Here is a 23433-nt window from a genome sequence, read left to right as displayed (position 1 = left end):
TAAACAGTTTTCAGAGCACAGCCTGCCCAGCTGTGCTGTCTGACAGGGATGGTCTCTTTGTGGTTATGGTGGGCACAATAGCGGCCCCCAGAGATGTTCACGTCCTAATGTCCAGAAGCTCTGAATACATCAGCCTCATGGTCACGTGGAGTGGAGGTCGGAGAGGGAACTCAGGTTGCTGTCAGCTGAGGGTTATCTGGATGGGTTCAGTGTGACCCCAAGGGTCCTTAAATGTGGGAAAGGAGGCATAGGGCTGAGAGTCAGAGGGATGCAATGCAGTGGGGGGAAGGACTTGTCCCGCTTTTGCTGGCTTTGAAGGTGGAGGCAGTGGCCAGGATCCGAGGAACACCGCAGCCTCTGGAAGCCGGGCGGGGGAAGCAAGTGGATCCCCCACACTCCAGGAGCCTCCAGCAGGAAGGAAGCTCCACAAACGCCCTAACTTCAGCCCAGAGACCTGGTCAGACTTCCAGCCTGCAGCTCTGTAAGGGGAGACGTTTGTGTTGTTTGAGGCCACCGAGCCTGGTCGTCTGTGCCGGCAGCTGCAGGAGCCCAGGCCACCATCCCCACGAGGTCCGTGTGCTGTGACGTGTGCCTGGGCATTCTGCACAGGGTCCTTATTTTCTCTTCCCCTCCCCTGCAAGGTCAGTCCCGGGAGCCCAGAAGGTGCTTGATGAATGATCTGCTGCTGATTGAGAAAAGGAACAAGTGAGCCGAGCCAGTTGGCGGCATTTTTGTGATACGTGTTGCTTTTCAAATCAAAGCTCTGTGCCTCTCAGTTGGGTAGTTCTGAGAGCCAGGGTCCCCGCCCTTCTGTCCCCCTCGCGGTGGGTCCCATACCCAACAGCTTGCCAGAGCAGAGACTGGGCCCCAAGAGTGGAGTCCTGAGCCTGGAGGCCGGGCGGGCGTGCTGGCTCCAAGCCCCGCACACTCCTAGCATTCCTGCCTGCGGCACTGCTGCCTGTGTGTTCCTCTGCCTTGCAAGGAGCCCATCAGCATCTTTGGTTTTAAAAAAGAAAAGTTATTTCGGTCTTTCATCCCCATCAGTAATTTCTTCCTCCTTGTGGTTCTGATCCCGCTTTTGGCTCAGCAGCCTGGGCACAGCCTGAGCGGCGTCTGATTTAAAACCTGCGGAGACGGCAGGAGGCTGCGTGGGAGGGAGGCGTTCGGGTGCAGCACTGGGGGGATTCGGAGCTGGACAGCCCAGCCACGTTGCCACCCGGGTGACCCTGAGCCCTCTAAACGGCAGGAAGGGTGGCCAGAGCGGACTCAAGGCTGCACGTTGCAGGAGCTCAGCAATCACAACCAGGATGACACGGAAGTCCTGGGGACCCCACCCCGCCCCAGAGCCCACTGCTGTGATTTTTGCCTCTTTGGGATGAAGAGTGAAGAGTGAGAGTTCAGAGAGGATGATGGATTTCAAGGGAGGGAAGAAGGGAAGATGTTCTGGGAATTCCCTTCACCCACATGCCTCTCCCTCCCTCTCTCTCTCTCTTTTTCAATCTCTGTCTTGGGTGAGATTGCAGATAAATCTTCAGGAAAAGAAAAAAAAGATCTGTGAAGGAACCTGCAGCCCCAGTTCCCTCCGTTTCCTGTGCTGCAGAACCCGTGACCACAGGCGTGTCTGCTCACACCCCCGACCCCGAGGCTCTGTGAGTCCAAAGTCAGGCAGCTGGACTGGGTTCTCTGCCCAGGCTCTCACAGGGCTCCGGTGGAGGGGTCTGAGGCCTGGGCCCTTAGCTGCAGGCTCGGGGAGGAGTCTGCCTCTGGTCACATTCAGGTTGTGGGCAGGATTTGGCTCCCTGAGTCTATGGGACTGGCCTCCCCAACTCTTCTAGTCTCTCCGACTTCCCCTTCTGCCACCCGCCAGAGAAAAGTACTTGCTTTCAAAGGGCTCATGAGATGATGAGATTAGTTCGGTCCCACCTGATAATCCCCCTTTCACCATCAACCCTGACATTACTGTGGGGGTGATGCCAGGGGGCGAAGGTCTAGGGGGCATTGTCAGTTCTGCCTCCCTCGCCGGCCTCATATGCTCCGGCACAGTCCGCATTCAGCAGGGTGTCTGCAGCCCTCCTTGGGTTTTAAGCTTCCCTCCTACCCCATTCCATAGCCGAGAGGGGGCAGTGGGACACAGTCTCCTACAGTCCTCTCTGCAGGTCAAAGGTTGTGTGCAGTGGTTGCTCACCCTTGACTTCAGAGCCTGGTCACTTGTCGTGCGGCAGCTCTTAGGCCGTTGTGAAGAGGGAGCCAGGCCTGCCTGAGGGGACGGCACAGCCCCCAGGTGTGGGGAGAGCCAGTAGGGGTCAAGGCCCTGTCTTCCCACGGCCACTGAGGAGGCGCTCAGCAGCCCTAAAATCGCGTTCATCTCAGGACAGGGGTTTTCAGTGCAAAGGTGGTGGTGGGTTTTGATCTGGGAGAGCGCCTAGAAAACCTCTTCTGCTGCCCCACCCTTTCCTGGCCTCTGAATTTCAAGTCCAGCGGCCAGGGAATCTCAGTGTTCATCCTCCTTTACTTCTCCGTGGGAACCGTTCTCACCACCTGTCCCCCTCCGTCCCTGAAAGCATAGACTCAGCTCCGAGGACATCCTACCCTGGACCCCCGGAGCCCACCCGCCCCACTGGTGACCTGAGGCCTGCGGCTGGCTCCTCTTCTCTCCTCTCTCCCCAGCCTCTGTGCTCAGCCGTCACATGGACTCGCTCGCCAGGGCTCCCCCAAGTCTCTTCCCCAACCCCAAATCTCATGATACTTGCGTACCTTTGCCAGCTGTCTCTGCCACGGCCACACGCTCCATCGGCCCAACACTGAGTGTGTGCGCTAAGCCTTCCCTTAACTATGCTCTGCCTCAGTGTCCGTGTCTGTGAAATGGGCATCCTACAGAATTTTTCTAGGGCTTGTCCTGAGCATTTACCCATGGGATGTCAGGATGGCTGTGGTCACCGAGTAGGCTCTGTCAAGCTATAGCTGACATATGATATTTCCCCATCTCTGCTGAGACTTCCTCCTCCTTCCTCAGCCAGGTCAGACCTGACCTCAACCTTCAGGGTTCTCCCCTGCTCCCTATTCCCAGCAGGAGACTTGGCAATAGCCAGCATTAGCTAAGGTCCTGCCATGTGGCAGAGGACACAGTCAAATAACCTGCCCAGGCTCCTGGGCCCGTGTTCATGTGTGTTCAGGGCTTTAGCTGATGTGACTCAGCTCTCTGCAGTCACCTTTTGAACTGTCCCATTCAGAATTCGCCTACATCGGAATTCTTAGTATGTTTTGTTTTGTTTTGTTTTGAGACAGGTTCTCACTCTGCCACCCAGGCTGTGGTGCAGTGATGTGATCTCAGCTCACTGTAGCCTCAAACTCCCAGGCTCAAGTGATCCTCCCACCTCAGCCTCCCAAGTAACTGGGATTATAGGCACATGCCACCATGCCCAGCTAATTTGTGTATTTTTTGTAGAGATGGGGTTTTGCCATGTTGGTCAGGCTGGTCTTGAACTCCTAGCCTCAAGCCATCCACCCACCTTGGCCTCCCAAAGTGCTGGGATTATAGGTGTGAGCCACCACGCCCTGCCCTTCTTGTGTATTTTAAAACCTGCCCTGGAGGTCAGCAGGGGGGGTCCACACATCAGAAGGCCTTTCAATCCCCTCTTCAGGACGCATGGCATCATCTTCCCACTCTCCCGTGGCATCTGTGCTTATTGTCAATTTACAAAAGTAAATTTGGGACGTAGCACTTGGGGAAAAGAATGAAAAAGCTCAGTATATTATCATCTGGGACCCCTCAAAGGGCTTGGAGGAGCGGCTCCCAGCCAAGGCAGACGATCCAAGGCTGCCTGACCCGGAAGTGCTCTGTGGTCATTTGAAGTCAGCCTTAAGGTCCTTGGCCAAACCTCGGGGCCTCACTGTCTTTGTCATGGACACAGGAGACATCTGACCCCTGCCTGTTCAGTGCCCTCTGTCTGGTCATTGTCACTGCCCTTTGACAAAAAGTAACCCAGAAATGTCTGCGGCATGTGGCTCTCGTGGTGGGGGAGTGCGGGGACTGATTGGAAACGTGGAGGGGACGTTACTTGGTTGTCATCTTGAATCCCAATGTTTAGAGATTGGAGGCAAGGATGCCCAAAGCCCTGCAGTGTCCAGGGCAGTCCATCGGGAGAAATGCAGTGTCCAGGGCCGTCCATCAGGAGAAATGCAGTGTCCAGGGCAGTCCATCGGGAGAAATGGGCCACCGAGCCAGGACCTGAGATGACGTCTTGGGTATAACAGGTTCCACCCAGCTTGACAGACAGACTGAAAGATGGCACTCCTCCCATTGCAAGAAATACAAAGCTTGCCTGAGCTGGGTTGCATGAAGAAATGGACCTTGGTCTAGGGACGCCAGGGCTTTTCCTGGTCATCGAGGGCAGAAGGCAGGGCCCTGCCTCCTGAGGCCCTGGAAGCACATGCCTCCCTCCACTGGTGCTGTGTGGTGACAGCCTTGTCGCCCCAGCTGTGATGTCCTCGGTGCACACCGGGAGCAGACTGTCCACATCTACTCCAGATTCCCAGGGGAGGTTCTGATGATTGGCCTGGCTTGACACAGGTGCCATCTCATGGCCCAGCCCTCTGTAACTGGGGCGTGGGGTGAGGTGGTACAGAGGTGGTCAGGGAGCAGAGCTTCCTGTCTGCAAAGGGCAGGGGGATGTTTTCAGAGAGACTTGTAGACCAGAACGTCCAAGCTGGATTCCTGGACAGACAACAGTAGCCAACGTGACTCGACGGCTTCCCCAGGCCGGATGCTGGGGAAAGGATTTATTTAGAAGTGTGCATTCATCTTGTCCTCAGTGCAGCCCTGTAAACTCTGCTCTTGGCCCAGGGCACAGTTGAGAAAACTGAGGCTTGGAGGGAGATGGTTTGCTGCTTGGGGTTGTGTAGCTAGCGAGAGATTTAAGCTCGAGCTTGTCTTGTCTAAAGATGGACTGTTGTGTATCCTTCCTGCCTCTGTCTGTCCACGTGTGTCTCATGAACAGAGGGGACCACTGCCCATGGAATGTGGCTGGAGTGTAGAGGTCAGCATGCTCACAGGACCCTGTCCTCACCTCTCACCTTCTATCTCTCTCTCTCTTTTTTTTTTTTTTTTTTTTTTTTTGAGATGGAGTTTTCACTCTGTCGCCCAGGCTGAACTGCAATGGCACAATCTCGGCTCACTGCAACCTCCACCTCTCGGGTTCAGGCGATTCTCCTGCCTCAGCCTCCCAAGTAGCTGAGATTACAGGTGCCTACCACCACACCCAGCTAAATTTTATATTTTTAGTAGAGATGGGTTTTTGCCGTGTTGACCAGGCTGGTCTTGAACTCCTGATCTCAGGTGATCCACCCATCTCAGCCTCCCAAAGTACTAGGATTACAGGTGTGAGCCACCACACCTTGCCCCACCTTCTATCTCTTAGTTCTATAGCCCACCTCCTCCCAACCCATCCTTAAAGATTAGCTTTTGGCCTTTCAGTGTCTTAGTAAATTTCTTTGAGAAAAATCCTCTTATTTCCTTTTCCAGAAACAGTCAGAGCGCAGGATCAGAGGCCACTGGAATCTCCCCAGATGCTCCATCTTGGCTTCCTTGCCAAGCTGTACAGCATCCTCTTTCCAGCAGCCCTGCTTAAAGGTCTATTTTAAATGCTGACAGTCTGAAGCTTGTCATGCAATCTGTCACTGCCTCTCGTGAGTCCCAAAAGGTATATTAAGTGGGATTTCTAGGTTTGGCCTTTTTTTTTTTTCCTTTCAGTGTAGATTTTTCTAGGCCATACTCAGAAAACAGCTTTCAGGCCCTGCATGCTCAAATGCTGCATGTGTGAGGTGTCTGGACCGATGGCCCTCTCCTGGGACATGGGGTGAGTCGCCTTACACCCAGAGGGATGTGTCGGGTTGACAAGTTCAAGAGCCTAAGGAGCTGTTTAGTCCCACCGGCCCACTTCACAGCTGAGAAGGGGAAGGCCCAGAGATGCAAAGTGAGGAGGTCACAGCCAGCCACTGCCCCAGCCAGGGCTGTGTCCCCTGCCTCGGCAATCCCCAGCTGGAGCTGTAATCATCCAGCTTCCTGTATCTCCAACTTGCCCCATTCAGACCCAAGGAGATGACGTGGCCAACGGTGGAATATGAGCAAAGGGTCCAAGGGTGTGTGGCTTTGACCCATTCGCTCACTTTCTCCAGAGTTACTGAGTGCCCGCTATGCACCAGGCTGTGTTGTAGGATCTGGAGAGCTAGCATTGCAGTGAAATGTGAGCTGGGGAAGGAATGTTCCAGGCAGAGTTAAGCACACACAAAGGCCCTGAGGTGTGAATGAGCTCGACTTGTTCAAGAGACAAAGAGGAGGCTAACACGGCTGGGGGGACCGAGGAGGGGAGAGCGGTGGGAGATGAGCCAGGGAGCAGGCAGGGCCACGTGGTGAGCGGTGGGAGATGAGCCAGGGAGCAGGCAGGGCCACGTGGTGTCTGGCTTGTGCCATAGAAGGCAGCTTGAACGTGACTCTGGTTGCATTGGGAAGCTGTTGGAAAACGTTAAGCAGCAGAGTTGAAAATCACCTGATTTACATTTTTTAAAAGCTCATTCTATTGTCTCTATAGAATGTGTATCAGTAAAGGGAAGGGCAAGCATGGAAGCAAGGAGGCAGGAGGCTGCTGCAACAGTCCAGGTGCAAGATCATGGTGGTTCAGACTAGAGTGGTAGTAACTGCTAGCCTCCATGTATGTGGAGCACTACAAACATTGCTGAGCCCTTGCTATATGATGCACTGATCCCAGCACTGACTGGGAGGAAGGCCTGGTTGGAAGCTTGGTTTTGACGTCAAGAAGTTTCTCCATGGTTAAGGAAGCAGACAAGTCAATACTTCCCTCTTGGATGGTTGGCTTCCCTGGCTTCTTTATCACAGGCAGAGGGGTCTCCTCTGAGACACATAAAGTGCCTGCTGCTATGCTGTGTTCTGGCCATGCTTAATGGGATCCATTTCCATTGTCTAGTAGGTGGTTTTTTCCTTTTCTCCTAGAAAGTACAGCCATTCTCTCAGAGGAGGCCAAACTCAGCCTTTGCCTTGATTTTGTCTGGTCTTCCCTCCTATACTTGCTAGGACAATTTTGGTTGCTGGTGACAGAAACCCATCTCTGCCTAGGATGTACTGGCCCACAGGACTAAGAGGGCCATGGAGATGTGTATCAGTCAGCTTGCCCTATATGAAGCTGCAGTAACAAGCATTCCCCTTGGCTGCTCTGAGTGCAGCAGTGTTTACAACTCATTGATCACAACCAGTTACAGATTTTGTTTGTTCCTTCTCCATTCCCACTGCTTCACCTGACTAGCCTTAAAAAAATAAAAAATAAAAAATTCCCCAATCTCTGTGGTTTGGAACAACAAAAGTTTCTTTCTCATTCACACCTTATGCCCATCATACATCAACAGGGGGTGACTTGAGGACCCAGACTAATAGAACCACCAGCTTCTCAAATGTTTTGGTGGCCATGCCCAAGGACAAAAAGACAATGCTGGTGGGTGGGGGTCTTGCATTTGGAATTAAAACCTCCAGCCAGGAAATAACAGAATTCACTTCCTCTCAAAATTCACTGGCCAAAATTAATTTCAAGGGCCTACTCAACCACAGGAGAGCTAAGAAGTAGTGTCTGACCACATGCGCCCTGGTGGAAAGCCAGAAGTATTTGATTAGTAGCCTCAGTGACCACCACAAGCCACAATCCAGGGACTCCTAGCATCAAGGTCTTTTGTGTCCATCTCTCCCTGACCCCAGACCTTGAACTTGGTTCTGTCTTCCGCCATGAGCTGGCTTCATTGCTGGACTCACTCCCTCCCTGTGCTTTGAATGGTGGCCATAGCCCGTGTCCTTCCATCGCATCTCTAAAAGGAAGCCAAGATCACCTTTCTCAGCAGTCAGACTACAGAACATCTCAGAAAAAAAGCCACCTGTCCTTAAGTGGGCCCTGGGTCACTTACTGCTAATGACAGGGCCCAGGAGAGTCCAGCAGGATCCCTAGACCACACCCACATATGCACCCCTGTGTGCCGGGTGGGCTGCTTGGCCTCCTGAGGGTCAGCCTCACCAGGACCTTCCCATGGGGAAGGGAAGCGGCTGTGTCCCCAGAGAAGCTATGTAGCCACGGCAGTTTCTTAGCCACGCAGTGCAGCAGCACAACTATTAAATGCATTACTGCATCATTCCTAGTTCTTTCCATTGTAAACAACAGAAAGCCAAGTTTTTTTATACCACCAAGGATATGCATTTAGTTTGTACAAGTGAGAAGCCAGGCATGGCTGTGTCCAGGGTTTCCAGCTGTGTCTCTAGGGCAGTCGCCCGTCTCTCTGGGTCTCTCTGTCTCTGTTCCTGCCCTTCTTCCTCCCGAGCCCTGTGCCATCCTGCACATGGGTATCCCCCTCAGGAGGCTGGCCTCCCTCTGTGGCCTGAGGCGTGGGAACCCCAGCAGCAGGAGTAGGGCGGCATTGTCCCCGCTGTGGTCCCAGGCCCCTCCCCTGAGCCCGTCACTCACTGGGATCAAAGGGACATTCCAGCCAGGCTCCCATGGGAACTGCAGGAGCCCAGGGCTGGGCAGTCAGGTGGGGAGGGGGCAGGGTGGCATCACCTGACCACATGGCTGGAGCTGAGAAAGGGCTGGTCCCACAGAAGACAGGGAGGATGTGGCCAGCCAGGTGAGCAGGTGCATGCGCGGCTGAAGGTGTGGTCAGCTCTGAGGCAGAATTGACCTCGGGCCCCGGCACCTGGGAAGCTGACCTCTCAGCGGCAGGAAACAGCCAGCATCCTTTGTTGTCACTGGTGCACAGGGAGGCTGGTGTGGCCCCTGACCTCCTGCTCCTCCCCTCGTCTGCCTCAGGGTGTTTTATTTGTGACCCACGTTTTCACCAGTGAGATCCAGGGAGCCTTGGGAAGGGGCAGCCCAGCAGCCCTTGCCTCTCAGCGCAGTGCACAGCAAGTCCCAGGGGGCCAAGCCTGGACATGCCATGAGGTGTGCACTGTAACACTGGGGGCAGGGTCCCAAGGGCCGTCTAGCCCACCCCGCTTTTTCCAGGTTAGAAACCGAGGCTGCTGAGGGCACCTCCACAGGATGTGGCAGAGTTAAGAAGACCACCTGGATTTACACGGGTCGCTCATGAGATGCCACCTCCCAGGAGCCCTATATGGGTACTACCCCCGGAGGCTGCACCACAATGGGCTCTGCCACTTCCTGGCTGGGTGACTCACTCAAACTCTGTGAGCCTCCCCCTCCTCACCCGTAAACCAGACACAGCAACGTTACTGAGCTCAGACAGGTGAAGCACACACACCTAGAATACGTGTGGCCCCTGGTAAGTGGATCACCAACTATGGCCATTGGTTGCTGTCAGCACTGATTGTGGAGGCACAGATCTGAGGTCGGAGGCCCACACTGCTGCTGACAGACTCCATGACCTTGAGAGGCCACCTTGGGAGGCAGAGGTTTCTAATCTAATGTATGACCACGACAGCATTAGTTAACATTACATAGCACTTTCAACATGCCATGCACCATTCTAGTGCCTTACATGTATTGATTCCTCAATCCTTCCCCTTTAAGGAGGGACTGTTACTATCATCATCCTTTTAAAGATGAAATAATGAGGACTTGCAGCCAGTAAGTGGCAGAGCTGGGTTCTGAATCGAGCCAGCCTGGCCTTGGAGCCCACATCCCTTATCATTGCACTCTGCTACTTCTGTAAACCAGGGACAAGAAATCTGCTTACTTTGGGATATTGTGTGAGTACCAATTAAGGGTAAAGACTTACTTTTAATGAAATGAGATAATTTAGCAGAGCATTCCACACTTGACAGTAGATAAATGTGTCTTCTGCTGCAGTGATGATGATAATGATTACAGTGATAATGGCAATGATGATGGTGAAGAAGATGATTGTGGCGGTCATAGTGGTTGATGATGGTGGTGATGACGCTAGTGATGATGCTGGTGAAGAAGAGGATGGTGGTGCTGATGATGGTGATGGGGTCATGATGATGATTAGTGGTGATGATAGTGATGATGGTGGTGATGATGTTGGTGGTGATGGTGGTGATGATGATGATGGTGAAGAGGATGGTGGTGATGATGGTGGTGGTGTTGGTGGTGATGATGGTGATGGTGGTGGTGATGGTGTTGGTGATGATGATGGTGATGATGGTGATTGTGATGATGGTGAAGAAGATGGTGGTGATGATGATGATGGTGGTGATGATGTTGGTGATGATAGTGAAGAATGCGCTGGTGGTGGTAATGATGATGATGATAGTGGTGATGATGGTGGTGGTGATGGCAGTAATTATGGTGATGATGTTGGTGATGATGGTGAAGAAGATGGTGGTGATGATGTGGTGATGGTGGTGATGATGGTGAAGAAGATGGTGATGATGATGGCGGTGATGATGTTGGTAATGATGGTGAAGAAGATGGTGGTGGTGGTGATGATGATGGTAATGGTGATGCTGATGATGATGATAGTGGTGATGATGATGGTGATGATGGCAGTAATTATGGTGATGGTGGTGGTGGTGATGGTGGTGGTGATGGTGGTGGTGATGATGGTGGTGATGATGGAGGGTGGTGGTGATGATGATGGGAGTGGTGATGGTGATAATGATCTTGTCCCTTAGGGTCCCTTTCCTGTCCCTTAGGGACCATATCCCAGAGCCCAAGTATAACTGTTTCTGGGAACCAGGAGACAGGGAAGGCCTGTGCAGGGGGATTCCTGCATGAAGCAGTCAGAGATAATGTCCTTTTAAAGGCTTCTTTTTCTGGCCGGGTGCAGTGGCTCACACCTGTAATCCCAGCACTTTGGGAGGCCGAGGCAGGTGGATCACGAGGTCAGGAGATTGAGACCATCCTGGCTAACACGGTGAAACCCCGTCTCTACGAAAAAAAAAATATAAAAATTAGCTGGGCGTGGTGGCACGCACCTGTAGTCCTAGCTACTCGGGAGGCTGAGGCATGAGAATGGCGTGACCTGGAAGGCAGAGCTTACAGTGAGCTGAGATCGCACCACTGCACTCCAGCCTGGATGACAGAGTGAGACTCCATCTCAAAAGAAAAAAAAAGATTCCTTTTTCTTACAATTTTGATATCAGAGGGGAATTTACTGTTCTTAATATCCTTACTGAGCCAAATGTAAAACTTGGTGAATGTTATGTTAGTCTACACCCTTTTTCTCTTTGTTTAAAGTTTTGTTGGTCCATGAAACTCCAGTCTGGGACACACTGGCTACCTTACCTAGCCTAGAAATGGTTCCTTTACTGAAATAGTCTTTTTTTCTGGTAAATACACACACACACACACGCGTACACACACACGCACACATTCCACTACACACTCCTCTCTGCTTCTGGCCCCGGCCTCCGATTTCAGCCAGGATCCTGCACCAATCAGCTGGTAGCACCCAGCAGTTCCCTAGACAGCCAGCACAAAGCTGCCACATGAGGGTGTAAGGAGCAGAGACAATTAAAAGTAATAATAGCAATTAACAGCCAGTCCCTGTGGCCCTTCATTGGCATTGTGAGCTACTCTGTTTAACCCTAGGGAAAGGTGCAAGTCTCACTTGTCCCTGCACATGCATGGCCCAACATAAATGTCACAGGGATTGCCTGACCATGTGTTCCCACCTCACAGCTACCCACGTGCTGGGCCCCTCATCCAGCCTGTGGAGGCTCAGTACCCTGGGGCTCCTCCTTCGCCCCATCCCCGGGATCCTGAGGCCCTGCCCTGCTGAATTCTTCTAATCCCTGCAGTCGAGGCACGGGCCTGGCTGCCAGGCAGACTTCATAAATGATGATTGGAATTGGACCTGTGCAAGATGCTGGATGCCAGGGAGGAGGGGGGCACAGGTGTCCTCCTGCACCTGGGCATATTTGTTGCAGATGCCAAGCAAAGGGGAGGTGTGTGCAGCTTGGCTGGACCGGTGCTGGCTTGGTGAGGGCCCTGTGCACTCTGACCAATCTGATTGTGTATACTGTGTTTTTATCTGGTAATCGTGCAATGCGTCTTTTTGGTTGTACAAGGAGGGCTCCCACGGCCCTGAGCAAGGCTTTGAGGAGTGGCATTCAATGGAGTGGAGGGCAGAGGGTGCCCCTGGCTGCACTGGAGGGGCCTGCGAAGTGGAGTGTGCCCCACTCCCTGGGTGGTCATGGCAGTTAAACTATTGAATACTCGGGCAACACTTTATAGCAGGGCCTGGTACAGAGTAAGTGCTCAATAAGTGTCAGTGACGATGATGGAGATGGTGATGATGTGGCTGTTTGGGGAGTCCTGTTGTGTTTTGTAGGAGCCTCGGGGGTTTGTGGGGAGCAGTGTGGAAGGGGTGGAGACAGCTGGGAGCTTCCATGTGAAAGACTTAGCCACTGTGTCAAATTAATCCGAGGCTGCAGCCTAATGTGGTAGAAATGAAACTCTTGCTTACGTAAGAGTCCAGGGCACAGAGACCCAGCTGTTGACCCCAGGGTCTCAGAGGCCTGAGCGTTGAGCTGGCAGAAGCAAGAAGACAGAGTCGGGAGAGCACACTGGCTTCTAAAAAGCCTAAGCTTGGAAGGGACCCTTCCCACCCTGCTTGTGCTCACATCTCAGTGGTGAGAACTAGTCACGTGGCCACATCTGGGTTCAAGGGAGGCTGGGAAATGTAGTCCTGGGCTCAACACCTGCCTCCTTTCCTGCCCTCAAGGGCAACACCACACTGCTGGAAAAGGGAAAGGGTTCTTGGAACATGTGCTTTTGGTGAACAGCTGGCTGCCTCTGGGCACATGAAAGGTGTGGAGACCTTTCTCAATTCCCTTATTTACTTTTGAACTGCAAATGTGCATTTTGGGGTTTGAGTGGAAGAAAAAATGATTTCACCTCAGAATTTGGGATGGAGGAGGCTAACAACAGAGAAGGTTGTTTACAGAGTTTAGATTAAACTTTGGGCCATTTTCCTGAAGTCAGTTGCATAATTTCTTTGGATGTTTTGCAGGGCTTAGGTAGGAGATCATGCAGGAAATCCTGTTTGGGAGGAAAGTAAACAGGAACTCGTGAGCTGCTATGTTTTATGTCTTTTTGTTGTGTGTGTGTTTTTTTTCTCCCTCCAGCACTGAGCTATCCATTAAATCTAATTACATCACTCATATCATTTCCCATGAAATTTATGTCTCAATCTGCTGAGTAAGGGGAGCAAGCAGAGGACTTAATTAGAAATGTTAATCATGTGGGTTTGGTGCTTTTTTTTTTTTTTAGGAGAAAGGAACTATAATCAGGAAAATGACAATAAATGTTCTTTCTTTCCCAAATGGCAGTTGTCTGCAGGTTTTCAGTTTTGCTGGAAGGCTCAGCAGCACCACGGCAGAATGCTGTTCTAGTGGATTCCATGAGCCAAGCGGGCTGCCCTGTTGGGGTCTGAGCTGGCCTGGCCCTCTCATCTTTGCAGGCTGCTTCCTCCTGCCTCCTCTGTGAGCTGAGGCCTGTGGGACTCTGCCTCCCTTAGGGAGTAGTGCTCCTGACTCTTCAGTAGCCAGCATTGAGGTGCACATGCATTCCCCAAATTTCACAAAGTTGAGCCCCAGAACCAGGCCTCATTTTCCTCCAGACTCTTCCCCAGGACAGTGCATCTCACATTTTGGGGAGTAGGTGAGAGGGCCCACCAGCCTCATGTGCTGTGGGTTCCGCGTTCGGGGACCATGACTTTTCTGAATGGTGTTTCTCTTCCCTCTCTGTACAGAAACCCGCGCTGACCGCAGCAAGAAGCTTTTCAGGCACTACACCGTGGGCTCCTATGACAGCTTCGACACTTCCAGGTAAGACGCGCTGCTTTCTCTTCCAGGACCCTCTGGTCAAAGCTGTTCGTCTGTGCTGCAAATGCTTTGGACCATCTTGCATGCAGCTTTCAGGCCCCTCGTGTCTGCCTCCCTGTGCCTGTTACCGGGCTAGGACTATGGAAGCCACCATCTCCTGGAGCCCCTGCCTGAGAGGTGTACTTGGTGCCACCTTTGGTTTGTGTCCAGCCAGAGCACACCTGTGTGGTGGCCCCAGGGAGAGGGCTGGGTAGCATTGTTTTTGCGAAAGCATGCAAATGTCAAGGATGACGGCAGTGGGCCACAGGAGCCTTGAGGCAGTATTGGGGCAGCAGCATCCCCCGGGGGAGTATTTCGGATGCCTCAGGTCTGGGTTTCTGCCTTCTCTGTGGTCCTCGGGTTCTCATCCATTCCTGCCACTTCTGCTTAGGTGGAATGGCTGTGAAGGAAGGGGGCAGGCGAGCCACCAGGTAGCCAGATCTTCTAAGCACAGCAGGTTTGAGTTCGTCTGATGTGTGGAAAGAGCCCTGCATCTTTGACAATGTGACTGGCACAGGCACGTGGTTGGATTTTTCTGCAGAAACCACACCTGTGTGTCACCAGCTGTGGGGAAGTCCTTGGGTCTCTGTGGGGAGGTTGAGGCTGGGGGGTGCCTGCAGGGGAGGTTGAGGCTGGGCAGGGGAGGTGTCCTGCTGGCCCCGAGTGTGGGGAAAGGCCCCTCCACGTGGGGAGCCCCAGATAGAGGGTTCTTCCTGGATGTTGAAGCTCAACAAGGGCCAGTGTGTGAGGTAGAAAAGAGAAGGAGGTGCAGGTGCAGGCCCCGGGGATGTGAGGGTCCTGTGCCCGGCCCTGCTGGCTGAGGAGCCCCTTCTCAGAAGCTGACCCCACTCATCTCCTGCAGAGGTGGGAGGGTCCGGAAGCCCTACGCTGGGTTCTTCCCCGACCTCCAGGATATCTGTGATGAGCAGCCCAGACCCCTGCACTCGACTCTTAGACCTGCCTGTGGAGGGATCCAACCTGGGTTAGCTGATTGATTTGTTTTTGTTTGTCTGTTTTGATTGAAGTAAAATGTACGTAACCTAAAACTTACCATTTTAAAGTGTACAATAAGGTGGCAGTTAGTACGTTTACGATATTGGGCAACCATCACCACTATCTGCTTCCAAAACATTTTGTCACCCCATTAGCAGTCACTCCCACTCCCATTGCCCCTCGCACCCACCCACCTGCTTCTGTCTGTGGGCTCTGCCTGCCTCGGTGCTGCGCGTAGATGGAATCAGCCGCTACGTGATCTTTCATGTCTGGCCTCTTCCACGCTGCATCATGTTTTCAAAGTCTATCCACATGGTGGCACATACCAGTACTTCATTCCTTCCCCGCCCCCAATTTTTTCTTATTGTGGTAAAATACATGTAATATGAAGTTTCCTATTCCGACCATTTGTTAGTGAATCACTAGTTTAGTGGTATTAAGAACATTCACAGTGTTGTGTAGCCAACACCACCATCCAGCTCCAGAGCTCTTTTGTCTTGCAAAGTTGGAACTCTGTCTGCATTAATGCAAACTCCCCACTCTACCTCCCTCAGACTCCAGCTCCCAACCTGTCTACTTTCTGTCTCTATGAATGTGATGACTCTAGGAACCTCAGATGAGTGGAATCCCGAAGTATTCATCTTTCTGTGACTGGCTTCTTTCACTGAGCGTAATGTCTTCAAGGTTCATTCGTGTTGTAGCGTGTCTGGATTTTCTTCCCTTTTTTAGGATTGAATAATGTTTCATTGTATGGACGGACCACATTTTGCTCATCCCTTTATCCATCAGTGAGCACAGGTTATTTCCACCTTTTGGTTGTTGTGAATGGTATTGATTGCTGTTGATATTTGCATGCAAGTATGTGTGTGCACTTAGGAGCAGAATTGCTCATTGGACTCAGTTATAATGCTGACCTGTCCCAACCGCTTCTCTTGTAAATGAGGTGTGCTGTAAAAGGAATGCCATAGCCAGGAGAGGAGCCAAGACCCCTCCAGGGAATGTCACAGACTTTCCAGGTCTTGCTACACTCGCCCACTTTGTGACCTTGAAGCCCAAGTGTGATCCATGGCCTGGCCACAAACGCAGCCCTAAAGGCAGGTCAGGGACTGACCACAGCTTCTCCTGATGAGCCTTTATTTGAGCCAGATGAATTGTTTCTGCAGCAGCAGAAGGCTGCCTGTAGAAGTGGACCCTGGGCAGGTGGTCATAGTCAGTGGGCCTATCACACTGTGATAGGATCTGTGATAGCAAGCAGAGTCTGCACAATGATACATAGTGCCTGAGTCTCCCCACAGAGGAGCAGAGGAAGGACCTGCCTGGGAAGAGAGACATCTGTGGGCAAAGCTGGCTAGGGTGTTGTAGTAAAGGTGTGACACATGGCTAACAGCAGGGCCAGAAAATACCAGGGACATGGGCTGGAGTTCAGCCAAGAGAAGACTTGCAGAACTATTGTGGCTGTTCAGGCTGCCTCAGGAGGTAGTGAGCTCCCCATACTAGAAGGAGCCAAGCAGGGCTGAGGATTCTCTTGCCAGAATGTCACAGAAGATTGGACTGGATGACCTCCAAGATCCCCACCAACTCTGCATCCCTGTTTTGGTGTCCAGTCAAGGGCTTTTGTTTTACATGTGTACTGAACACCTGTTCTGCCAGGTCCTGGGACCTCACCTCAGAGAGGAGGAACATGCAGACCACACTGGGGTCAACTGGTAGCTTCTAAGCAAATGGTGAAAAAGCTTCAGCCTTGATCAGAGTTAGGAGTCAGCTCCAGTACTCCCATGGCGAGGGATCAGACAAGCTGTGGGCCTCATGTGACCCTGTGGTTCATTGAAAGAAACAAGAGTCACAACAGCCCTGCTTATCCACTCCTCCCGTGCGCCACCCACCCTGCATGGAGCACAGCCCTGTTCATAGCTGAGCCTCCCAGCAACCTGGTAACGCAGGTGTTACATTCCACCTGCTAGAGGGACACTGATGGAGGGAAAGGAAGGCCAAGTTAATGAGCATCTGAGCCTGAGTATGCGGCCTGATCTGTGGGCAGTAGAGCCCTGGCATTCAGGCCCCACCCTCCCGCGGTGAGGATGGTACTGCCCAAAGCCAGCCTGGGTTGAGGGAAACTGACGAGGAGGAGGGCCAGTGTTTCTTGTGGTAACAGTCAGCACCTCCCAAAGCATTGTTGGGAGAGATGCACATAGATGGAATCAGCCACTACGTGGTCTTTTGTGTCTGGCTTCTTCCACTCTGCATCATGTTTTCAAAGTGCATCCACACAGTGACACACACCAGTACTTCATTCTTTCCCCACCCCCCCATTTTTTCTTACTGTGGTAGAATACACATAATATAAACTTTCCTATTCTGACCATTTTTAAGTGAATCACTAGTCTAGTGGTATTAAGACATTCACTGTGTTGTGCAACCGACACCACCGTCCAGCTCCAGAGGTCTTTCATCTTGCAAAGTTGGAACTCTGTCTGCATTAACGCAAACTCCCCGCTCCACCTCCCTCAGACTCTGGCCCCCACCTGTCTACTTTCTGTCTCTATGAATTTGATGACTCTAGGAACCTCAGATGAGTGGAATCCTGACGTATTCAGGATGATGGTATTATCGTTGTTCATCCCTGACTGTCTGAGCTGGTTCATAACGGGTGCAGGGTTAGCCTGAGGGAGGCCACCCTGCCCAGGACCAGCAGAACTGGCCTCAGCTAGACTGTGAACCTATTAGCATGGCAGGGTGGACAGGGGGACAGGCAGTGCTGACAGAGGGTGGGCAGCACGGATGGAGGGTGGGCAGTGCAGGCAGAGAGCGGGCAGTGTGGAAGGAGAGCAGGCAGCATGGAAGGAGGGCAGGCAGCATGGGAGCTTGTGGACAGAGATGAGTAGGTCTTGTGCACCCCTGTAACCCTGGAATGGCATAACTCTGGAGTGGGTGTGGAGTGAGAGGCTGACTGCCAGCTTCTCCAATGGAGCAGGAGGAGCATCTGGAGGCCATGGTCACCAGGGCATGGGTGCAGAACAGCTTGTAGCTCACAAACCCTTGTTGGCATTCATGTTGCAAGTAGACTAATGAGCAGCAGAAACCTGGGTGCAGTGCCAGCCCTGTGGGCCAATTATCCACAGTAGGCTGTGGGGTCACAATCTGGGCAGACAGCACAGGGCTGAGGCCACCCCACTGCCGATGCAAGTGTAATGAGAGAAAATGCCATGGGAAGTGAGACTCAGTGGAGACATTTTCTGAATCAGTCAGGAGGTTTCTCCCCTTCCAACCTCCTCTTATGTCAAAAACTGCTCAGAGTCTCAGAGCTGGAGAGCCAAATGTTGAAACACACCAATTCATTAGTGAACATATTCAGCTGTTCCAGCCAATTCCCTCCCTGGGATTCCCCTCCACTCACCCGGAAAACAGTGAGAGAAGGATCTAGAAATGGCCACATTAATTAAGGTCAAACAGCAGAGGCCCTAAGGGCCATTTCTACTTGGGACTTTACAGATATTTCAATGTCATTTTTAAAAACATGTCTCCACTCAGGGAATGGGAATCTTAAGTTCCCACTCCTCGTTAACCAAATCCCCAGCCTCATCATGGGATACTCCAGAGAAATCTACCTGGTGGGATGGGGGAGAACTCAGGGTCTCACTTTAGGCTGAACGGACTCCATTTATACATCCATCCTTCCCGCCATCCACTCACTCAGCCATTTATCTTTCTATCACTCATCTATCCACCTATTTATCTATCCACCCAGTCACCTGTCCACCTGTCCGTCTATCCACACATCCATCTATCCATTCATCCATCCATGTATGAATCCTTCCATCCATATGTATCTCTTCATCCATCCATCCACCCATTTATCTGTTCACTCCCCCGTCCATCCACCTACCTACCCACCCATCCATCCACCCATCCACCCAACCACTGCATTCATCTGTCCATCTGTTTAATGAATATTTATCAAGATCTGACTATTCTGGGAGCTGAGGATATAAACAAGACAAGCACATTCTTTGACTTCAAGTAGATTACAGTCTAATTAGTAAAGGTACACAATAAAGTTAACAAATGAAGCAGAGGATCTCACTTTGTAGTTAATGCTATGAAGCAGATGAGTGCTGTCATAGAATCCTGGGAGGTTGGGTCATGCCGGCTTTATGTAGGGATGCCAGGGAGGGAGTGTCTCCCTGAAGAAGTGACTTTTGAGTTGAAACACAAAGATTGAGGAGGAATCACCCCTCAAGAGAAGGTTCAGCAAGTGCAGAAGCACTGGGGTGATGAGAAGATTCGACACTGCAGGAATAGCCATGGCCTAGAAGAGATTAGAGGCAGTAATGTCAGAGAAAGACCTCGTGCTTCATGAAAAGAGTTGGGTCTTCTCGCACTTGCAGTGGAGGCATTGGAGGGCGTTAGGCAGAAGAGACATCATCTGAATCACTTTTCTGGAGGAAAGCAGATGGCAGGATGGATGGAAACCAGTGAGGAGCCCATTGCCATTATTCAGGCCAAGCAACAATGGTGGTTGGGGCTGGTGGAGGAGGTGGGGTAGAGAGGTGGATGGAACTGAGGGGTAGGATGGAGTTAGATTGGATAGGGGCATGGACATGGAGGTGAGGAAGAGCATGGAGGACTTAGTTCTCACCTTCTCTTCGTTTTTGCCGGGAGGAGCTCCCAGAGGCACATCCTTACTGGCAGCAAGGTCTGCTCAAAAGGAACATGTCCATTAATGCCACTCAAGGAAAAGGTTTAAGAAGGTGCTGAGCATCTGTTTTTTGTTCTCCCTTAGAGAAAACCAGTTTTCTCTTAGAGAGCGAATTAGAAGGATGGCAAAGTATGCCTGCTCACCATTGAATATCCACTGTCCACAGCTCCCTATTTTCATGGCTTTCGAGCCTCACAGCCCAATTTTTATCTTTTCTAAATCAGTAATAAGAAATACATATACCTGGTTTAAAAATTCAAGATATGCAGGAAATTGATAGAGTGTGAAGAGTAGGTCTCCCATCTTTGCCTTCTGGTCCCCAAGTTCTTCTCCCTAGAGAGAATCTCTGTTGCTGGGTTCCTGAGGCTCTTTCTAGAGAAGGGCCCTGCAAATAGAAGCATATATGCATGTTATCTGAAGCGTTCTAAAGACGCTGAGAAATCACCGGTCCTAAGTTATCTCTCTGGCTTTCCAGCTAAGTCACTATGCAACCTTGGGTAGCTCGCCTCCCCTCCCTGAGTCTTCAGTTCCTGTTGTTTGCAAAGTAGAGCTGCTTCCAACTCATTCTGTATCTCCAGTTGTGTTCGTGTTAAGGATGAATGAGAAAATATGTTTAGTACTTGCAGCTCCTAAGAGGCATGTGCTATATAAATCCAGAGGGGTGCTGAGTTGTGAGCAGTGTGTGTGGGTAGCTGGCTTTCCTTTGAAACCCTAACTCTGCGCTCTAGAAGACTGCCTCAGTGTGTAGGTTGTAAGAACTGAATGGCAAGAAACATTGATTTCCCTCATTCTTCCTCCGCCATTATTTTGTATTTTTATATATTTTTTCTTATTTCTTAGACTTGAAAAGAAGGCTTTATCCCTGAGTATGTCTACTGTCTGGACACAGAAGGAAGCACACCCCATTTGTTCCTTACTCTCAACTGAAGGCTGGGCCTCGCAGTTAATTTGGAAGCCCCCATGGCGGCTTCTTTGAGGCATAGTTTGGGGCAGGGCAAGAGATTATTTCACTGTTTATTTCATACATTTTCTGTATTTTTATTTTTTTACTATTTATTTATTTATTTTTGAGACAGAGTTTTGCTCTGTTGCCCAGGCTGGAGTGCAATGGCATGCTCTCAGCTTACTGTGACCTCTGCCTCCCTGGTTCAAGTGATTCTCCTGCCTCAACCTCCTGAGTAGCTGGAATTACAGGCATGTGCCACCATGCCTGGCTAATTATTTTGTATTTTTAGTAGAGACGGGGTTTCACCATGTTGGCCTGGCTGGTCTCGAACTCCTGACCTCAAGTGATCCACCAGCCTCAGCCTCCCAAAGTGCTGGGATTACAGGCGTGAGCCACCGCACCTGGCCCATATTTTTATTTTTATTTTTGCAAGTATATAGTTCTTTTGTAGTTTTTTGAAACAGAGAGGTATTTCTCTGGGCATAGGCAAAGGAAGGCATCACAACCACAGATGGCCCAGCTCTTCCTTTGCGCTCTCCCAGCATGGTAAAGATGGTGGCCGGAACCAGGTCTCCATTTGGGTGAGCCATTTCTCCAGGGAGTACTGCTCTTCTCTGTGGTCTCTATTGTGATGGACAGCCCTCCCAGTGCCTAAACGGGGGACCTGAGTGTCCCCCTCCTCATTCTCCCTTGCCTTTCTCCCTCCTTCCCTCCTTTAGTCCATCACAAGGGTCAAGGAGTCCTGTCTTCTCCTCGTCCTCCTGCTGTTTCCCTGGGCTGGCCCCTTGGCTCTTGTCCATGTTCTCTGTTCCCCTTAGCACCCCACAGTCCGGCTGCCCCAGGGACCCCTCCCCTCATCCATTCTCAGTGAACTCTCAGTTTCACATTTTTCCTCCCTCCATAAATTTTCATCCAAGTACTGCATGCATGTAATGAAAGTAATTAATTAAACTACAGAGATAGGGCCAAGAGTAGAAATAAATTATTATGTGCCCACTCTGACCCAGCCTCATCCACACAGCCCCACTTGGCAGAAAAAAAAGTTTTTAAATTATGTCTGCTTCATTCTTCTGGTGGGTATCTTCCCAACGTGATGATTACTCCCGTATTTCTTAATTTTAAAATGTGAAACATCCTTGACACATTGCTGGAAAAAATGAGGCTTTCATAGTTTGACCCTCACCTCCAATTTTGAATAGTTCTTGCCAGTATGCTAATGGATTACCTTTAAATAACATTCTTAAACTTCTCTCTCTTGTTTAATACATTTTAGACACTATCACTCGACCCTTTGGTATATTTATATTTATATTTATATTTATATTTATATTTATATTTATATTTATGGGTTCTAAGTTTTGTCTCCAAGTTGGACTCAGAAGTTAAAAAACAGTGGAGGGTGAGCACAGTGGTTCACATCTGTAACCTCAGCACTTTGGGAAGCCAAGGCAGGAGAATCGCTTTAACCCAGGCATTCGAGACCAGCATAGACACCAAAAAAAAAAAAAAAAAAAAAAAAAAAAAAAAACATGGGAAGTATTACATTATGATGATAATACAAATGGGGTTAGTATTCCAATTCCTCTTTACAGACCTATGAGAAGAAGGGTACTAATAGTATCACAACCCAATGAGTTTTTTTTCCACTCTATCAGTGTTTCAGAGTAATTCTACATTTCAGCTTAATATTAGGATCATGATTTTCACATGAAGATTTTGTTTTTCCTGGAGTTTCTGATTGCCTTTTTTTTTCTCGTGGGAGAAAAATTATGGCTTCTTGAGCATACCACTAAAATATCATTCTTTTTCTGATGTATCACTGGAATCTGTCCTCTTCTTGTTGGAGTCCTCTGACATTCTGCTCCAATTTGAACTCCAGCTCTCAGTACACGACGATCATCCTGCAACTTCACTTCACTGAGCTAGTGGATACGTGAGTTGCTTCTTTTCTTTGCCCTTATTCTGTCAGGATACATCCTCCACTTCAACAAAAGGTATCTGGAATGTAACCTCCCTGTCTGGAAATTCCCTAGTTATCAAATGTTCTCCAGGTTGTAGAACTCCAGTTTCAAAACTCTCCAGGCATTGCTTCATCACCATCCCGTCTCTACTCATGGCTTAGAGCCTTGCTGACTTGTCCTCTGTTGTCAATTTTTGAGAGAGGAATGCTGAAATTCTCCAATATTATTGTGTTTGTCTATTTTTTCTTTTCAGTTCTCTCGGATTTCGCTTCATGTATTTTGAAGTTCTGATGTTAGGTTTGTACTCATTCAGGACTGTTTTGTCTTCTTGGTGATGGTCCTAGGCCTGGAAGTTCAGGTGTCTGGGGGTTCTGTTCCCAGTTCTGAATTGATCTTTTTCTCATTATTCAATGTTCCTGTTTATCCCTGGCAGGTGAGAATTGCCAGTAAGAAGTTATAGCACTGTCTGATTCTCATTCCACTGTAGGTAGCGACCCTTTATTTTCCTCCCTAGAAGTTTGTAGGAATGTCATATTTTCTACTTTTTCTTAGTGTTCTGAAATCTGATGGTGGATGTGAGTGTGCGCTTCCTTTGCACATTGAGCTCATTGCTCTGGAGACCCCTCCAGACTGAAGCAGCTTCCACTTCAAGAAGGTATTTTATTACCTCCTTGACAATTCCATCGCTTCCTCTTTCAGTTCAGCCTTTCTGGATTTCCTCTATTAGACCATTTACGTTCTCCCCATTTGTCACTTATTCTTTCTCAAGATTTTTTTCTTTGCCTTCTTGCTCTGTATTCTGGGAAATGTCCTTAACTTCCAACCTGTCTATGTAAGTTATTATTTTGTCAATCACACTGTTACTGTCCAAGAGCTTTTCCTTTCAACAATGGGATAAGCTTCTAAAGCTTGAGAGAAGTGGTTTCCGGATCTCTTTGTGAACAAACCAGCCAGCCAGGTATGGGCAGATCTCTGCACGTAACTGCTCTCACGGCAGAGC

The 23433-nt window shown here is 50.4% G+C and overlaps 1 protein-coding gene across 24 annotated transcripts in view, besides 1 other annotated feature; it reads left to right on the top strand.

Annotated features, from left to right (window-relative positions):
* Window positions 1-23433, top strand: part of SHANK2 (SH3 and multiple ankyrin repeat domains 2) — a 785381-nt gene that overhangs the window by 540746 nt on the left and 221202 nt on the right. For all 24 annotated transcript variants that reach the window (NM_001441030.1, NM_001441032.1, NM_001441037.1 and 21 more), the window contains one exon: window positions 13726-13801. In NM_001441030.1, coding sequence (NP_001427959.1) covers window positions 13726-13801 — 76 coding nt within the window. The remainder of the gene's footprint in view (window positions 1-13725; window positions 13802-23433) is intronic.
* Window positions 2065-2686: an enhancer, noted in NCBI's record as "H3K4me1 hESC enhancer chr11:70555908-70556529 (GRCh37/hg19 assembly coordinates)". NCBI's record gives its function as "activates a minimal SCP1, AML or CMV promoter by ChIP-STARR-seq in naive H9 embryonic stem cells {active_cell/tissue: H9 hESC(naive)}" and the evidence as "EXISTENCE:reporter gene assay evidence [ECO:0000049][PMID:30033119]".

Source organism: Homo sapiens, chromosome 11 (genome assembly GCF_000001405.40).
Source record: "Homo sapiens chromosome 11, GRCh38.p14 Primary Assembly".
Taxonomy (NCBI): Eukaryota; Metazoa; Chordata; class Mammalia; order Primates; family Hominidae; genus Homo; species Homo sapiens.
This window is presented reverse-complemented; position numbering and strand designations above follow the sequence as displayed.